The sequence below is a fragment of the Homo sapiens genome, chromosome 21 (genome assembly GCF_000001405.40).
Source record: "Homo sapiens chromosome 21, GRCh38.p14 Primary Assembly".
NCBI lineage: Eukaryota > Metazoa > Chordata > Mammalia > Primates > Hominidae > Homo > Homo sapiens.
Window position 1 is genome coordinate 34,319,508 of NC_000021.9, and position 19,713 is coordinate 34,339,220.

At 44.9% G+C, this 19,713-nt stretch overlaps 1 annotated feature.

Moving 5' to 3' along the window:
- Window positions 15,070–18,981: an enhancer, noted in NCBI's record as "VISTA enhancer hs2174". NCBI's record gives its function as "enhancer in: hindbrain (rhombencephalon)[6/13] | eye[11/13]" and the evidence as "EXISTENCE:transgenic organism evidence [ECO:0001131][PMID:17130149]".

The window sequence follows — 19,713 nt, forward strand, 5'->3', positions numbered from 1 at the left end:
GAAGCCATTTCTTCTTAAAACTTGTTGTAGGAAATCACTTCAACTCTGACTGTGAATGCAAAAGAAAGTAAAGGAGAATGGATATGGGGAAGGGATGGCTTCATTTTTCTACATTTTGAGGTGGCTGACAAAACTTGCTCCTTCTTAAAGTCCTTCAGTGTCCTGAGTCAAGAGAGGAGATGCAAACATCCTTTAACTCTCTCTTCCCATAATCTCCAGCCCCATGGTTTTATCTTTGGAGAATGTTCTCTTCTTTAAACCCTATCTCCCGTCTCCACCTGTTGCCATCTTATCCTAAAACCATTTCCAATAGGACATCCACTGCACAGCCCTCCTCATCGCCTTGCCGGGTTCTATCTACCTCTCCTTTCAGTCATGAATCAATTTCCTAATCCTGACATTTCCTAGGAGGGTAAATACATCTTAGGTGATAGTTCCCAGACAGCATCCTTAAATTTGGGGGTGTCTGATCACCTACAAGGGAAGACAATTATTTTACAACCTTTCCCTCACTGCACTCCCACCCAGTGCTGTATGTTTGTTTTTGACTAGAGTGAATTAAAATCAGTTTTGTTTGGAAGATTTCACAACACTCCTTGACATTTTTGGAGTTCCTATGGAGAAAGATTGAAGCCGGAATGAAACCTGAGGGCCTGCTGCATCGCACGTGTTTGGGGGCTTTTCTGTTTTGTTGTGCAAACTCAGTCCAGTGGGACACAGACATGACTGCTATGGGGAGGCATTTCCCTGTTTGCCAAAAAGCAATGGTGCGGAATAGTTTGAGAGACCACAAAATTACATTTCTCTACTCAGCACTGTGAAAAATTGTCATGGAAAAATATATTACCAACTCACATCACCTGGATCCACTACAGCCAGGGAGCAAAAGAGATTTCAACCCAGTCACTAATATGTAATGGATTAATTCAACCTGAGTGTTTGTTGTGTCTTTCTGCTGTCTTTGGATTCAAACACATAATTGTCTAAATTGAGCAGTGAAGATTGCCTGGCTCCTTAGTTCTTGGGCTTCTATCCCTTTGAATTCATGTCATTCTGATTAAGGGAGAGAAGGAGGCAAGCAGGAAGTTTCCAGTTTGGGATTAAAGCATCAGCCCCAATTCTGGCCCCAGCATTTCAGGTGCATGAATACCGGCTGGTTTCTCCAGAATATCTCTGGTCTGGTCTCCACTTGAGAAGTTTGCTCTCCAAAACTCAAACCTCAATAATTATAAAAACTTACTGGAAGTGTTTTCAATATTTTTGAAGCTGAAAATATACCCATATATTTTAAACAACCCCAAAGAGATCAAGAATGGGAAATGGCAGGGCTGGACAAGAGGCAGTCTGAAGCTGAAAGCCCAGGTGGGAAGATGCCAATGTCAAATTATTGGACAACGATCAAATATTTGAGGCCTCCAGCAATTTGTGGAAATTATTTTAGCAGGGATAGTGGCACTAAGACAATGATTTGTTTTCTCCAAGTCTAAATGAAGAAATTGTGTGGCTCCATGTTTCTCTTTTAATTAAGAATATAACCTTTTCTTTAAAAGAGTCTACCTGAACTACTAAGCCCACAAGACAGGGCTCTGCATGTTAAAATGTCAGGGAGTCTTGAAGACCCAAAAAACTTCTTAGTAATTGATCAGTGATAGCCAGCCTCAAATGACTTCCACATCTATAAATCGTAAGCCAGAAGGAGACACTAAAGAGAAGAACAGAAGGGTTTGTTGGGAGAGTACCACAAATAATTAAAAGTTATGGGAACAGAGAAGAAAATAAGACATGTTGATTAGAAACATCAGGATGAATTGGCATTGATTTTGCTGTACAATAGAAAACTTGTTTCAAATTTTCTTCCAACAGATGCATAGCATGGTGAGTGAGGAATTGAATTTTATTCCAGGTTCAAATTTAAGTTTGGAAATAAAATTTGGGAAGGTATGCCTCATTTCACAAAAACTAAACAACTTTTTGAATACTCTTACATAAGGAATCCCACAGAAATGGATCTAATTTGATTATCCAGTATCTGTAGGCTCAGAAAAATTTTTCTCTTGGATTTGAATTTTAATGCATGTTTAGCCCCTTTTTTATTCATTTGCTGATACATTCTAATATTCTTCCTTGTGAATCTTTGCAGGTCCTGTTACAATCTGGTTGTAAGTGCTCACCTCTTTTAAAAACAACCAACATTTTCAATAAATTCCTTGAGAAAAATAATTGCTTGTTATACGGTTACAGAATATGAAAGCACACATTTGAATTGCAGCTGTTACCTTTCCTTCTGGTCCTTAATAATTGGACCAAATATAAAAGTCACATGAATATTTTGTTTCTCCTTTTAAATGAAGAGTTCGTTAGCACTATCAGTTTTCTACCACATTCTTTTTTTTTTTTTTTTGAGACGGAGTCTCGCTCTGTTGCCCAGGCTGGAGTGCAGTGGCACGGTCTCGGCTCATTGCAAGCTCCGCCTCCTGGTTTCACATCATTCTACCGCCTCAACCTCCCGAGTAGCTGGGACTACAGGTGCCCGCCACCACGCCTGGCTAATTTTGTTTTTGTATTTTTAGTAGAGATGGGGTTTCACCGTATTAGCCAGGATGGTCTGGATCTGTTGACCTCGTGATCCGCCCACCTCGGCCTCCCAAAGTGCTGGGATTACAGGCGTGAGCCACCACTCCCAGCCTCTACCACATTCTTAACATGTGATTTGACTGCCTGTGGAGCTAACATTTTCCTCAGAGGGATGAGCCCACATGATCTCATGACAAGGCCGACCTGTCCTCCAGCCTGCCAGAGTGCAGGCACAACACTGGCCCTTGACACAGCTTGCAGATGGGCACGGCCTCTGGGCTGTGTCACAGCTGTTCCACTAAACCTCCCGTGAGAAACCGGTGCCCTAGAGGGTCTGTCCCCACCCTGAGCTCTCCTGGAGCCCCACCATTTAAAGGCCACACACAGCTCACTCCATTGGCCTTCTCTGTCCTTAATCCTCAACTCAGGAGCACCTTGAATGTTAGCAGGTCCCTCCTTCCAAGCCTCAGAAGGACTTTCCTCATGGGTGCCTGTTTGCAAGGCTGGAATTTCTGCACAACTGATGATCAACTCCAGAGAGCTCCTAGTTCACTGCCCATGGCGGTTACTCCTGCCTCCAGGGCTCCCCTGGGCCCTCTGGGCAGTTACCACCTCCCATCTTATTCTCAGCAGACACCTGGGCCCACTAGAAGATAGTGCAACCCACTAGAAGGTTAGAAGCCCCGTGAGGGATCATGATGCATGTACTGATGTCCCCAGTGCTTAGAGAGCACCCAGGATAATGATAATGCCTGGCTCATAATCTGTGCTCAACAGTGTTGTTTCCTATTGGACAAGCCCTCCTGTGCACACTTTTTCTCCTCCCACCTTCCCCTTCAGAGAAGCAGACACAGCCTCTCTCCTAGTCAGGAATGACCTCCCCCTGCCCTGTCATGCTCTTCTTCTAAAACCCTGGTCCTTCCCTTGCTTCTTTCCTAGAACCATCAATGTCATCCTCACCTTGCTCCCGGCATTGACTCCCTCTCTAATTGACACTCTATTTCTCACCTTTTCTCCTTCACATTCCATACCAAAAGTTGAAAAGAATAGGGTAAAGAAAAGTGCCACCACTTAAAGAAAGCATAGGTACTCTAATAAGGAATTAAGTGGAAACTTTATGGAAGAAGTGACATTGGACAATAGCTTGGAAGCATCCTTAGAATGTTTGGAGTTACTTGCTGATGTGGTTTGGATGTTTGTCTCCACCAAACCTCACATTTGAAATGTGATCCCCAATGTAAGAGGTGTGTGGGTCATAGGGGCGGATCCCTCATGAATGAGCCCGATCCCCTTTCCAAGGTGATGAGAGAGTTCTTGCTGATGAGATCACATGAGATCTGGTTGCTAGAAGAGCCTGTCACCTTCTCTGCTCTCTTCTTGCTCCCTCTCTCACCATGTGACAGGAATGCTCTCCTTTGGCTTCCGCCATTAGTGGAAGCTTCCTGAGGTCTTTGACTAAAGCAGAAGCCGGCACCATGCTTGTACAGCCTGAAAAACTGTGAGCCAAATTACCTCTATTCTTTATAAATTACCCAGCCTCAGGTATTCCCTTATAACAATGCAAAATGAATGAATACAATTGCCAACATTATAAAAAGAGAGATTTCAGATAAAAATCAACATTTTTGCAGGCTTCTCCTGAAAAATTAGAAGCTCTGGTAATGCCTGGCCAATATAACCACATCTTAACAGCCACAAGAAGTTCAGGAGCAACTGTTACTGTCAAGAAGGCCTTGCACCAAAGACACATGCAACACATCTCACATCTGTGGTCATCTGCAATGAGGAGCCATCAAGAGATACCACCCTGCCACCAAGAGGTGGAGTCAAATTCTTCTCCCCTTGAATCTGGACTAGAATTGGTGATTTGCTTGTTACCAAAAGAATGCAGGAGAAGAGATGCTGCATGACTTCTGAAGCTAGAAGAGGCAAGGCCATGCAACTTCTGCTGCTTTTCCTAGATACTTCCTCTCAGATGCCCCCTCTTGGAATCCAACCACCATGTTGTGAGGAAGCCCAAGCCATGTAGAGAGGTCATGTGTAGGTGCTCTGGCCACCAGTCCCAACCAAACTCAGGCCTTCAGTCAACCCAGTCCAGAGGTGAAGAGCCTACAGGTGAGTCCAGCTTCAACACCATCATGGATCAAATCTTGATGATCAAGACCATCACAGATCACAGACAGATGATCACTGCTGAGTCCTATTCAAATTTTTGATCCACAGAATGCAGAACATAATAAAATCATTGTTGAAGACCACTGAGTTTTGAAATTTTTTGTCACATAGTGTGAGATAACTGGAACAGCATGTCTTTATATTTTCCAGGATTTTTAGTACAAGGTCACTGGCAGAGAGGCTGCTCATTATTTTTTAACTAATTGGGTCTTAGAAAGTAGAAGGCAGTCACAAAGCGTTCACCTCTTTTTTTTCTTCTATAACAATTACATTTTAACATCTTGGGATGCAAAAAGCCAACAATCCACTAGAGAGGAGAACTATTTCCGTGGCTGGCATGTAGAAATAACGCTTTTTAATTTTATTTACAAAAACATCATCAGCTATGCAACCTTCCTGGACAGATACCCACTCTGGCTTCTGTTTGTATAGCTGATAATTATTATTGTAAACTTGATTGTAGACTGTTTGCATTACAGGTGAAGAGAAGAAGAGTATGAACTACCACGAAACTCATTTCCCTCCGTCCTTCAATCAAATACAATGACCTTCAGCTACTCTCACCATTCTCTACTGAAAACATCCCAACTATCTGGAAAGAACTCACCTAAAGTTCCCCAACATCAAATAAACCACGTTCCAAAAGATTCAGAGCCAGAGAGAAACAAAACGCCCTTTGTTGATGAAGCATTTACTCATACATACATACAAGTGTGTATATATATATACACATATATATGTGTGTGTGTGTGTGTGTGTGTGTGTGTGTGTGTGTGTGTGTATACATATATATATATATTTTTTTTGAGACAGAGTCTCTGTCACCCAGGCTGGAGTGCAGTGGTGCAATCTCGGCTCACTGCAACCTCTGACTCCCGGGTTCAAGTGATTCTCTGCCTCAGCTTCCCAAGGAGCTGGGACTACAACAGGTGCATGCCACCATGCCTGGATAATTTTTGTATTTTTCGTAGTGAAGGGGTTTTGCCACGTTGGCCAGGCTGGTCTTGAACATTTACTGAAACATTTTTGAAGGATTCATTGGCATCAGAATATAAAAAGGGGCGTGTGCAAAATGCCCTATATAAAAATATATATTTAAAACCTTGATTACAGACATAGTTCACATTCATTGCAGAAAACATAGAGAAGCACAAAGAACAAAATTAAAATGACCTCTAACCTCAACACCTAGAGGACAGCATTGTTAACACTTAGGCCACATCCTTTCCTTTATATTTATTCATATAAATGGAACAAATGATGTTCCAAAGATCAGATCTCATTGTAACCCCTGCCCTGCATCATCATAGTGTACACATTTACCCATGTCATTAAATAGTCATCTACAGTATAATTTTATGCATAGTATTCTGTTGTATGAATGTGTCATAATTTTGTAATTATCTCCTATTGTTGGACATTTAGGTTGTCTCCAGTTTTCCCTTACTGTCTACAGCATAGCAATAAACATCCACCCTTGTCATGTTTTCATATGTCCATGATTATTCATATGTTTTCATATATCCATGATGATTTCCTAGCTCAAGCTTGTCCAATCCATGGCCCGCAGGCCATATGCAGCCCAGGATGGCTTTGAATGCAGCCCAACACAAATTTGTAAACTTTCTTAAAACATTATGAGGTTTTTAATTTTATTTTTTATTTTTTTAGCTCATCAGTTATCATTAGTGTTAGTGTATCTTATGCGTGGTCCAGAACAATTCTTCTTCCAATGTGGCCCAGGGAAGCCCAAAGATCGGACACCCCTGTCCTAGATAAATGTCTAGAAAGGGGTTTGCTGAGTCAGAGGTATGATATCATCAAGGCTTTTGATACTTATTGCCAAATTTTCCTCCAGAATCACATTCCCCAGGCAGTGCATAGGAATTTTCATTTTACCAAACCCACACCAACTGGAAAACATTTCTTTATGGTCTGGGAATCAATGGTTATAGTACCTTGGACTCAACAATAATACACCAACAGACAGCTCCCAAGCACTGAAGATGGGAGAGCAGAATAAGTCTCTGAGAATGCAGAATGGCTCCTTTACGAAAGAGAAGACCGAGGGAAGTAAGTGATTTTTCCAATGTTATACAGACAGTCAATGGGTGTCTGTTTGACATTCGACCTGGGTGTATTCATTGGCCTGATCAACACAATGACCAAATCTGGTCACAGTGCAGGATCAGTTAATGACTGTCCTAGGCTTACTTGACCTCCCTTTGCACCTTCCACTTTAAAGCATTGCATTTAGGCAGCTTCCCATACTGGTCTTGATGGATCATGATGACTAGAAGTTCTCTAGGACCATGAAACTGGGCTGAATCCTCTTCATCGATGCTTATAAATGTATGTTCTGTGTCTGGTCACATTTGCTGATCATGAGCCTGTATCAGGCTCGAAAAAGGGCTAAATGGTCTGTGAGCAAGAGTGGCAGATTCCCTGAAAAAAAAGTGCATGCCCCCATATCTCCTCAAGTTCAAGATGCATGACAAGTTGCAGACAGAGGCAGCTGGTAGAGTCTAGAGAAGCATTGACTGTTAGTATTTATGGCCTCTGTCCCTTGAAAGCCCACTGCCTCATTTCTCACGACATAGACACTGTGGCTCATCCCTGGTCCTGTGGCATTTGGCATCCCAGACCGCCACCCATGCTTCAGGAGTTTCTTTCCTCCTCTGACTTCTGTGACATCCATATCCCTCTCCTGGCTTTTGTCTTACCTTCTTATGTCTGTTTCAATGTCTCTACTTTTTCCTTTTAGTCTTAAATATGTGGCACAAATCTCAGGTCATGAACTCAGAAATGTTCATTATTTTAATTTTTAAAATAACCAATTTTACATTCTGTTACAAGCTCTTACTGTGCTACATGGTGAAAACTAAAATGTTGGTGAACCCAGAGTCATCTCAGATTCTTCCTCCCTGCCCTGTTCTCCCTTCCCCTGGAATGCTGATGATTTCTGGGGGTTGGGGAGCAGGAGGCTGGCACCAGGTTACCATTCATTGTCTTCCATGCACCCTGGTGCACCCTGAGGCTTCTGTCATTCTTGTCAGGTCCCTGTCCTCAGCAATGTATGTCAACGCAGCATCCTCCCGGGGCCCTGAAAGCTTCTAAGAGCTGGCACGCTCTCTATTGCTTCTGTGCAACTTTGGGCACCTGGGAGACATCTGGCTACTCTCAGCACTGATGTGCATGCAGGGAAGTTGAAACATTATTGAATTGTCCTCCTGGACATGTAACCCCCAGTTTTTGCTTCTCTAGTACTCATGGCTGGCATAGAGCGTAGAGACACCCTCCAAGGCTTGAGCCCTTTCAGGAATCCTCAGAAGTAGTTTTTCCTAAGAAAGATTCCCCACACTCTTCCGGCACTTCTGTCCTTCCTATTGCTGCTCTCCACCCTCCCCTTTGTACATCTCCATATCACCCCAACCTTGGCTGTATCAGATAGAAAAGTCCTAACTTTGCAATGCCCTCATTTATAGAATGGGAGAAGTTGGTGAGCAGAAAGGAATGTCTAGAATTAATGTCTAGAATTTAAAATACTACTTTTAATACTTAATATTATTTTGATGTGACTCATGAATCTATCCTCAACCGGTGACACTCTGAAATTCCAAGAGTGTCTTCACTCTGCTCTGGTCTCCCCACATCACCTCTGTAGGGTTCTATTCTCAGCAGTATCCCTAATAGATGGTGGCTCACACATGACATAGCCAGAACAGAAATCAATGTCTACCTCTCTTATTATGTGGAATAAGAATACATCCTCCACCTCCACCCTCTTGACTCCCTAAGGTCTACCCTGCCACTCTGCCACTGTCACTCAGTAATGGCTTCCTTCTCAAGTCCTGTGGCACTTACTGTCATGCGTGCACATCTCACTAAGGACAAGTTGCTCAGAATTGTAGTTCTGTGAGATATTGCGTAGGCTGTGACCTGCTAAGGGGCAGAGACCTTGTTTCCTTCACTGCTGTGTCCCCATGGCCTGTTGTAGCATTGGACACAGAGTAGGAATGCATCAAACTTTTAAAAACAAGCTTTTTAAAACATTGATGAATTCTGTTAACAGGGTTGAAGGCTCCTCAAAAGACGGGCTTGTGTCATACACGAGTCCTTAATATGTGTCTAATATTGAGCCTGGAGATAATATGTGTCTAATATTGAGCCTGGAGAAATGGAAAATGGAAAAGAAGTGAAGACTGTTTCAGGGGGCGTGCTTGTCTCCCAAAGACTTAACAGCCTTGGGATTCAAGGTATAAACACCCCAAATAACAAACAGCAAAAACTTGCTTTTGCAGCAGGAACCCCCCAAAAGGGTCTAAGCAGCTAAAGAATTGAGAGATGAGAAATCCCCACAGGGAACAATGAAATCTTCACAGACATGATGATGCTTGGGTTGGACCCTATGTCATTAGGTCCATAGTAACATCAACACACCCTTGTGGACATCCAAGGGCTTTGACCAATACTCATACTATGTCTACTTAATTTAATGCATAACTTATTAATCCCATAAGCCTATTAAATATTGTTCTAAAAATTTAAACACACCCAACTAATAAAACTTATGAATTTACAAATTTAAAAATTCCTCAGTATTTAAACATTAATTACAAACTTCTTTAATAAAATTTTTCTAATCACTCAATTCAACTCACAAGTCTAATATATTGGATTCATTTACATGCTTCAAACCATTTGGATATTATCACAATGATAATGAAACTTCATTACAGTTACATGTAAAACAATTATAAAGTTACTAGTATTTGGTCCTGATTTTTTTCATTATATTTTTACTAATTTTTATGCTTTTCTCATCCTGAACTTGCAGTGACTATATAAGACAAAAATTTCTATACCTTCCTAGGTGTATTAGTCTGTTCTTGCATTGTCATAAAGAACTACCTAAGACTGGGTAATTTATAAAGAAAAGACGTTTAATTGGCTCACATTTCTGCAGGCTGTACAGGAAGCATGGCTGGGAGGCCTCAGGATACTTACAATCATGGTAGAAGGTGAAGGGGAAGCAGGCACATCTTACATGGCTGGCGCAGGAGGAAGAGGGCAAAGGGGGTGGTGCCACACACTTTTAAACAACCAGATCTTGTGAGAACTCACTCATTATCACAAGAACAGCAAGGGGGAACTCCACTCCCATGATCCCATCACCTCCCACCAGGCCCCTCCTCCAATATCAGGGATTACAATTTGACATGAGATTTGGGTGGGAACACAAATCCAAACTGTATCACTAGGGTTATGATAATTTATCAGACCCAAAGTAAAAGCATGATCTCAGCCTAGTCAAGGAAGCAAGCTCTAGGTTTTATATCAATTGGCTCTTCTTAGGATGTAGGGTGTACTGGCTACAACATCCAAGGAAATTTAACTCTGAACTTCTCAGCTGGGATCCTTTTCACAGTTGAATTTTGATTTCTATGCTTGCCGCATATCTTCTCTCTACCCTCCTACATCTGCTTGGTGCCCCTGTTCTCTGCCCTGGGAGCCTGCCCTGTGTAGGTGCATGTATGGGATCATGGAGACTCTGCCTTCTGGTTGGGTTCAGCTAGTGGGGTGCCCAACGTGAGATCAGAGGCAGGCAGGAGGTGTCAAGGGCTGGTCCCTTCCCGCAAAGTGGTTTAGGCCAGCTGTGTCCCTCACTGCTCCTCTCAAGGTGGCCTGCTGTGCGTGACCCTCCCATACCATGTTTGGGTATTTCACATTCCTTGTCTCTTCTGTATGGATTCATAACAGCGCCAACACTACTAACCCTGGTATCCTGCACCACCCCAGGAGGCTTCGCTACACTCCCTCCTATTTTTGTAATTATTCCATCATTGAGTGATCTCGTTTTGCCATGCCACATGTTTCCTATTGGGATCCTGATGGTGGTGAGGGGTTTAGGAGAGGCAGAGAGGTGCTCGAGTGCTCTGGACGCCCAAGGAGTTTAACTCTGACTGGCCAGCAGAGGGCAGGGACAGGAAGGGTGTCTCCATGCAAGCGTGCCGATTTTACAAGATGGCGTCCAGTTTGGTCAAAACAGCCCAGAAGGCTTGCCTCAGGAACAGGCCTGCTGCGGACACCCCCAGGAGTGAGGGTACAGGAGACCATGGAAAGGCATCTAAGATGACAAGCTTGGCTGGGGGAACAAGACAATCCTCAAGGTGAGAATTACAACTTCCAGCATTATTGTAGACATAGCATAAAAAACATTCATCAAACCCACTGCCAAAGGAATTGTCCTTAAATACAAGTCCGTAAACATCAAGCAGTTGCGGCAGCCTCTGCTGCTCAGCAGAGCCTGGTTCTTCGTTTCTTAAATCGGCATCATCATTACTATTGTTGCCCAACTTCAAATGTACTGGCTTAGGTGAGTGGGTGATTTGCCGAGATCACGTCTTCATGGACTAACTGGAGAGCGAAGGCAATTATGCAGATAATTCACCCAAGAGCCTCACTTTGCTGAAGTTCGGTAATTACCTGAAGAGCTTGTTTTTCAGTGTCTCCAATGGCACACTCAGACAAAAACATTTCTGTTTTCTGGATGATGGCCTCGCTTCTTTGGCTGTGTGACTTTCGCCCCAGTGGAAAAGTGATATTCATCATATTATGGTCTGTGAGCCTGTGAAATCAATAAACAAGGCGTCGTGATCTGGGCTGGTAACAGCTCCAACTGTGCACGGCAAAACCCCCAGAGCTGTTCATTCTCCCACCACGCAATTCCCCTCTCATTCTGTAGGCCTGAGGCCAGGGACCCAGCCTCTCTTTTGTTGCATTTCTGAGATGATGGTCTCCATTGCAAAGGTAAGTCTTTCACTGAGCTGATTTAAACAGCATAGGAACCCCCACTGCATATCTAATGAATTAAAACCTTGAGTTCAGTGTTGGTGAGAGGTGACTGGCCACTTTGCGAAAACCAGCTCATGAGGCTGTTCCTTGGGCTCCTCAGTGTGGCCAGCACATGTGGGCAGCTGCCTGGGGGATATGATTTGGAGGACGCAAGGAAGGACCCTTGGCCTTCCACAGTGCCTGTGATTCCACTGTTAGAGATATACTTCTTTGGCTCTTAAACTAGTGATTTCCACTTTTAAGAGCCTCATACTAAAATGTTACCTCTAAGAGAAAGGATATTTCCTTGGGACCACATGAGTGCAAACAATGATGGCAATGCTTGTTCTGTGCTTACAAGATCCCACTTCATCCTCAGAAGCTCTGTAGCAGGAAGGTACCATTATCATCTCCATTTTGTAGATGCGGCATCCGAGGCACAGAAAGGTTCAGTAAGTTGCCCAAAACCACATAGAGAATAAGTGTGGGGGCCAGGACTGGACCGGGGCAATCAACCTGGATCACTGCTTCTTTCTTCTGCTTCTTGGAAGCTATTAGGTGACTGCAAAAGGAATTGCCGTTTTTGCATTATTGGAACTTGCTGTTTAACATTGGAACATATTCTTAAATAAATGTAATTATGTTATACATCATTTTAATGGGCATTTCTCACTTTTTTTTTTGCTAATGACGTTACTTGCTGTTTATGTTTATTTTAGACTATGGAAATGATGTTAGACAAAAAGCAAATTTGAGTGATTTTCTTATTTGAGTTCAAAACGGGTCATAAAGCAGTGGAGAAAACTGGAAACATCAGCAATGCTTTTGGCCCAGGAACTGCCAAGGAATGTACAGAGCAGTGGTGGTTCAAGAAGTTTTGCCAAGGAGACGAGGGCCTTGCAGATGAGGAGCGGAGTGGCCGGCCATTGGAAGCTGACAATGACCAATTGAGAGCAATCATGCTTTAAAATTGGTGAGGATGTAAAGTCATGAAGAGGGAATTGGTTTAGGGGCAACACACCTCTGAGAGTGCCCTCCAGAGTTGTGTGACACAGTGGCCCAGAGAGAGTGTAGAATCTCCAGGGCTATCCAAAACACTAAATTCTTTGGTACTTATTCATTGAATCAATGGAGAGACTTTAGGGATGGCATTTGGTACAGATCTGTAAGTAATGTATGAACATCCTTGGTCTCTAATAGCAGTAACGACAATTTTAATCATCATAATTATTTAGCCTGTACCTGCTCTGTGCACAGATCCTGTGCCATGTGCCCTGTCACACTTAACCGTTACAAGAGCCTGTGAATTACAGATGATATTCCTATTTTATAGACCAGGAAACTAAAGCTCGGAGAGAGTCAGAATCTCTGATCTTACGCAGTGTCTTGGTCTGCTCCGGCTGCCATAACAAAGTATCACAGACCGAGTGGCTTCAACAACAGGCACTGATCAGGCACTGATTGCCTAATAGTCTTGGAGGCTAGAAGTCCAGGGTCACCTGTTGAAAGGAGGACTGGTTTCCCCTGAGGCCTCTCACCTTGGCTGGTAGGTGGCCGTCTGTGTGTATCCCAGGTGTGTCTCTGTGTGTCCAATTTTCCTCTTATAAGGACACCAGTCAGATTGGATTAGGGCCTACCCTAAAGACCTCATTTTAACTTAATCACATCTTTAAAGGCCTTTTCTCTAAATATAGTCACATGCTGAGTTACTTGGGGTTAGAGCTTCAACATATAAATTGGGAGGGGTGGGGTTCAGGGATACAATTCAGTCCCTTTCAGACAGCAAGTAGGATGAACTAAGGAGAAAAATGGGACTAAGGCGGTCATTAAGTCTCATTAGATCCCCTCTCAGAAGCCAGGCCTGGGGCAGGGGAGGTTTAAAGGTAAGAGCACCCACATGAGGCCAGGAGGACAGAGCATGTCTCTCTCCTTCCTGCACCCCTTCCTTCCATCCCATACTAACTAATCAGTCTTCCCTATAGGTCAAAAGTATTGAATGGTTCAGTTAATTTCCTTCAGCCTAGAACCTAAACTCCAGAGTTATAATGAGAGACCCGTTCGCGCCCACTGTGCACCAGGGCCAGATCGGAGCTGATGGGGAACCATGCCAAACACAACACCATTCCTTAGCGCATAGTTGAGGTGGAGCATGTGGAATGGGCCTGAGGTTCCTTGAATTCTTTTCGAGGCTGAGATCTATGCAGCCCTACGCCCCCAAAGCCCTCTCTCTGCATTCAATTTGTAGCAAAGTAAACAATTTGTAGCCAGTAAACAGGGAGTCCATTGTGACAATGTTCTGGGGACTGGGCTTCAAAGAGGCCTTTTGTTCTAAGTGATATTTAAAAATTCTTCATTAGCTATAAAAAGTTGTTTTAAAAACTCTTTCCCAGACACCCAAATGCCTCTCATATGAAAAAAAAAAAAAAAAAAAAACCCACAAAGCTTATGAATAACAAGGAATGGTCATTTGTGGCCCAGACTTCTAGTCTGGTCAAGTCAACAGGGTGTGCGAGGCTCAAAGAGAGAAGCTGCAGGCGAGGGAGCTGAGCCTCCTGCTGTGACAGGACTGAGGCGCTGCTGGGGACAGGAGTAAGACCATGAGCAAAACGAAACTGTCTGCAGTGTCGAGCCCTGTGATACGTGCACTATTGCTTGGGGACAACTTAAAGAAGGCAGGGCCACTGGCTCCCACTGTGGCAGGGGGCATCCTTCATCCAGGTTAGTTATCTAAACTGCAGTGTGAATGTTGCCCCCGCAGGGGAGTACACTGAGGTAAACCTGAGCCAGGCACAGCAAAAAGCTCTAGAAGAAGAAAGCAGGGAGCACCTGAGCTAAGGAGACTGGGCATGTCTCGTGGAGGGGTTAGGACTCGAATGGATGCTTGAGGAATTTGGGCAGGGAAGTCTATTTTTCCCGTGGCTTCCCTAGGGACATGGAGAACCCCCAGCATCTATACTACCAAACCGCCTATATGACCCCAAAATGCTCCCAAGGGCACCATGAATGCAACTGTTTTTAAACAATGGCCTGTCCCCTAGGGCCCATCCTATCTCCAAGGCTGGCCTCTCTGGAAAGCAATATCGCTTGGGGCCTGAGAAGCAGGCTAGCTATGGAATCTCCACATCTCCAAGAACGTGCCCAGTTACTTCTCAGGAGCTCATAGGAAGCTTCTGCTGCCCTGCTGCCCATGGACTGGTCAAGAAACAGGAAGGTGCATTCTCTGAACACCCAATTTTGCAAAGATTATGGTCTAGTCATTTCCCTAATTGTCTCTTTCAGCTATAACGTCTTCACATCCTTTTTTTTTTTTTTTTTTTTCCTGAGACAGGGTCTTGCTCTGTCACCCAGGCTGGAGTGCAGTGGTACAATCATACATAGCTCACCGTAGCCTCAAACTCCTAGGTTCATGCGATCCTCCAGCCTCAGCCTCCCAAGTAGCTGAGACTACAGGCACACACCACAATGCCCAGCTAATTTTTAAATTTTTTGTAGAGGTGGGGTCTTGCTATATTGTCTGGGCTGGTCTCGAACTCCTGGCCTCAAGCAATCCTCCCTCCTCAGCCTCCCAAAGTGGTAGGATTACAGGTATGAGCCACTGCACCTGGTCCACATCCTATTCTTACTGAGGTGTTTGAGACCAAAATGCATTCTGAGAATTCTTAGATAAATTTCACTCTTTATGTACCAACGGAGGAACACTGCAGTCACCTAAGTCATGCCCCTCCTTATGCCAGTGAGGAAACTGAGGCCAAGACAAGGAGCCCAATGCCCAAGGCACCCCCAACAAGTTAGGGGTAGAGCTGAGCGACTCTCCCAGCACCCTCCTCCAAAGCATTGTTGGACACAGCGTGATTCTTGCCTCCTGCTCCTAGCTCATTCTTTAGTTTTCACAGTGAAAATTCCAACCCTTTATCTGATGGCATTTACTCCCATTATAATAGAAATATATTAACATTTGACCTGTGATCAGATCATTTCCTAGGAACAGGGTTTGGCAGGAGAGAAGGGAAGACCCTAAACTGTTCTTGTTGGTGCATGTGTGTATGTGCGTTTGTGTGTGGGGTTGTGTGTGTGTGAGACAGACCAGAAGGAAGATGGGCAAGAGTTAGGAGAAGGACAGAGAAAGGCAGAGACAAGTTTGCCCACTGCACAATATTGCCTCCATCTGGCCTGGCTTGGATGATCTGAAAGACTCTGATATTATCCAGAAGACCGGGGGTGCTGACCAAAGACTTCTCCAGGCACTCAGAAGTTGTCCTTCCAAGCATATTCCTTGGCTCTCCGAGAACCACAAGTAATTGATGACACCTCCCACCCCAGCCCCCGCCTTCTCCACATCCTATTCTTTCCAGCTTCTGGGCAGATAGATGTGCTTGTTTGTAGACTCATTCATTCCAGGCTTTGCAGTAATCTCAGACTTGACAAACACAGCATGGTCGCATTCATCATGGTCACCTGGTCCTCATTAGGGCCATCAGGGGAGGCCGGTGCCTGGCTTTGTGATGAGTGGTTCCTCCTCCACGTGGGCTCCAAAGTGCCCAGCAGCCTTTTGTTGTTTGCATGAAGGCCTTGGGTGACTCTGCCAGGCTCGGCTCAACATTTTCCACATGACTGATGGCATTCAAAACTTTGCAATGCCAATAGGCAAATGTCTTGACTGGCTTTGTTTCTTGTTGGTTCAGGTGGAATAATAAGGCTGATTCTGCCAGAAATGTCAGTGTGAAGCTGGGAGGTTGGTGTTTGTTCATAAGGACACAGGAAAGCAGATAGCTAAGTGACCGGGTGCCCCGGGGCCTGGGTGCCCAGTGCCAGTGGTCAGAAAGGTTGCTTTGGTGTTTTTCATTGTTAGTGAGACAGAGATGGTGTGCCTTAGGGGTAGGATGGGCCAACAAAAGGGGTCTTCCTGGGGGTTTTGCAAATGCCTTATGCTCACTGGCCAGGCTGTTGTGTTTTTGTTTGTTTGTTTGTTTTCATTTTTTTTTTGAGACAGAGTCTCGCTTTGTTGCCCAGGCTAGAGTGCAATGGTGCCATCTTGGTTCACTGCAACCTCCGCCTTCTGGGTTCAAGCGATTCTCCTGCCTCAGCCTCCCAAGTAGCTAGGACTACAGGAACATACCACCATGCCCAGCTAATTTTTGTATTTTTAGTACAGATAGGGTTTCACCATGTTGGCCAGGCTGGTCTTGAACTCCTGACCTCAAGTGATCCACCCACCTCGGCCTCCCAAAGTCCTGAGATTACAGGCGTGAGCCACCAAGCCTGGCACAGGCTGTTGTTAAATTCTGCTTCATGCAGTCTCTCAAAGCCACGTGGGGCCTGGGGGGTGGGGTGGAGGGTGCTCTGGGACTTGTCTTTCATTTCTGCAGCTGTGAGAACGGCTTGGCCTCAGCCACAGCCTTTTCTCCCATTTTTCTCTTGCTTCATTGGGACATTTCCGGAACCAAATATATTCAACTAGTCCTCAGCATCAGGAGGTAATCAAATATCTGAATGCTGGTCCTTCCATTGTCTGATGACCAGATCCAGCTGAAACATCCAATTTTGTAAAATATTCTGCTCTGGCATTTCCATAATTATCTCCTTCAACTGTAACGTGTTCACATCCTGTTCTAACTGAGGTGTTTGGGACTTACATGCTTTCTGATAATGATGATAAATTCCACCCTTTGTGCGCTAGAGTCATCAGGTGAAATTGCTTTCGCTAGGGTGTTTTGTTCTACTGTACTTTGACATGGATTCCGAAGTCTGCGTCATACAGAAGACAGGCGATTGTAATTATTATTTTGAAATGGACACATTGCTGAGCTCCTGGAAATGAGCCTAAAGATAAACATGAGGACTCAGGGGCCTTGAAATCCATACCAGGCAGCTTCCTGATTCTTGCAGGCCCGTTTGGTCACTGCCAGACTAAACAGAAAGCTGCCCCTCCCCTCCCTGGGCTGGCACTTTGGGGCTTTTGTTAGTTGGGCAGGAGTGCAAATCCTTGAAGATACTCTCCGTGGAAAGCCTGCGTCTTTACATCCTCTGCCTGAGACCTTGGCCAGTGCTGGCAACGTGGCCTCGAGCTGCCCTGGGGTTCCTTGACATTTCCTCATTTGGGACTCTGGGGCCTTTGCTCCAGCTTAGCTGTGTATCTCAGGGGTCAGGAAGGAGAGGTGGCCTATGGTCTTGTTTTTCAGCCTCTGGAATTGGGAAGAAGCTTTGGAGTTAGGAAGAGTCCCAAGCCACAGGCCCCGGCCAGTTTCTGACCAGAGAGGTGGAGGGGCAATCGCGGAGGTGGGCTTTGAAGTGGTGAGGGGGCCTGGGGGCAGATGGCAAGCAAGCAGGGAGTGTGTTTGTTACCCTGTGCTAAAGGTGTATCCGATAGGTGTATCCGATGTCACTCAGTCACTGAGCACCCAGGAAGGATACCATCATGTCCAGCCAAGCACCTGCAGACACATAGATTCATTGGCTCTCAGCCACATATGGTGATGGGAAACTCTACCTTGTCCCATGTGGTGGCATTTCAGTGTCTACTGAGCATCACTTGCAACCCTCCCGGGCTGTTCCCTGGCAGGTCCTGGCACTGCAGGTCAGTGTCTGGGGCAGCAGCTCTTTCCATGGGGTTGCCTCCCTTCTCCTGCCTGCCACGTCTCCTGCTGGCTTCTCTTACAGCTTTCTCTACCTCCAACTCTCTTCCCTTTCTAGAAAGACACCAGAGAAGAAGGGAGGAAACCCTCCCATCCAGGGAGTTCCCTCTTTTCACTCCTCTTTCTTTGGTTCTTAACCTCAAGCACTCCCTTGTCCCACCTGGGCAACCCTGCTTCAAGGTAGCTTGCCTTAGGGGCCTGTTTTCCCTTGTCTTTGGAAAGCAAGCCCCAGAGGTGAGTCAGCATACAAATATAGAACACGTTCCTCGGAATAAAGAAATCCCCACTTACAGTGTGGCTGGCGAGGGTGTGGGGCACAGATGTGAGGAGGGTGGGCACACGGAGAGGGGAAGGGACGTGGGTTGGGTCGGGGGAGGCCAAGTGACCCCACCATGTTGCAGAAGAACCTCAGCTGGGTCACAGGAAGTGGCATGCGGGAGTCACCATGGAAGCCACAGTTTAAAATGTCAGGCCACCTTCCTCACAGCTGAGGAGGGGGCAGATAGGCTGATGGGGGAAAAGTGCATGAATTTTTCTGGTTCCATCAATGCCTCTGAGAATCAGCAAAGAGCAAAAAGAGCAAAGCCCAGAGACGTGACCTGGTTGAGGACCCTACGCTCCTTGAAGGCAGGAATCAAGCCTTGTTCATGTTTGCATTTCAACACCAAGCGCAGCTCCAGGCTCCAAGTCGAGGCCCAGGAAGCGCTGGCTGTCCTGAAGGTGCTCAGTCTGAAGGTGTCGGGCCCAGGTGTAGGAAGCAGAGCCAGAGGACCAGGATGGGAAGGCACTGGGCCCGCGGTGGTGAGTTTCTGTAGATGCTGGGCTAAGAGGGCTATTGGCAGAAGAAAATCATGGAAAGGCATTTTGATGACATTTCTTCTTAAAAAATTTTAAAATAATGAGCACTCATTTTCACAGTACTCATCAGAACAACACAAAGATGCAATCAGAACAAGCTGTACTTCCCTCCCGACCCTTCGCTCTCCCTCACCCAGGTAAACAATTTTCTTTCTCCTTAGAATTCTGAGATTTCACCAAGTTATGTCTAGGTGTGTGTCATTTAAAAAATAACCCTGTCTGGGACTTGGGCCTTTCAATATGCAATCTAAAGTCTTCTGGCAGGTCAGGGAAATTTTCGTCTGTTATTTTTTAAATAGCACTTCTCTTCCATCTGTTCTCTCTTTCTTTCTCTCTTTCCTTCTGGAACGTTTGCTATTTGTATGTCATGCCTCTCGTTTTGTCCTTTAAGTCTCTTACCATTCCCTCCTGGGTTCCACCTCTTTGTGTTTTTATGTCGTGAACTCCTTCCTCTACTTGATCCTCTAAACCTCAAATTCACTGCCCAACAGTGATCCTCCTCTTTTCAGTCCATTTTCTGAGTTTTTTAAAATTTAAAAAAAAAAAGAAGAAGGTTTTCTTTTAGCTCCAAGTCTTTTTCTCAGACTTAAATGGTATCTTCTTGAGCATTCTTTTTTACTTGTTTTTCAAGCCTCTTTTC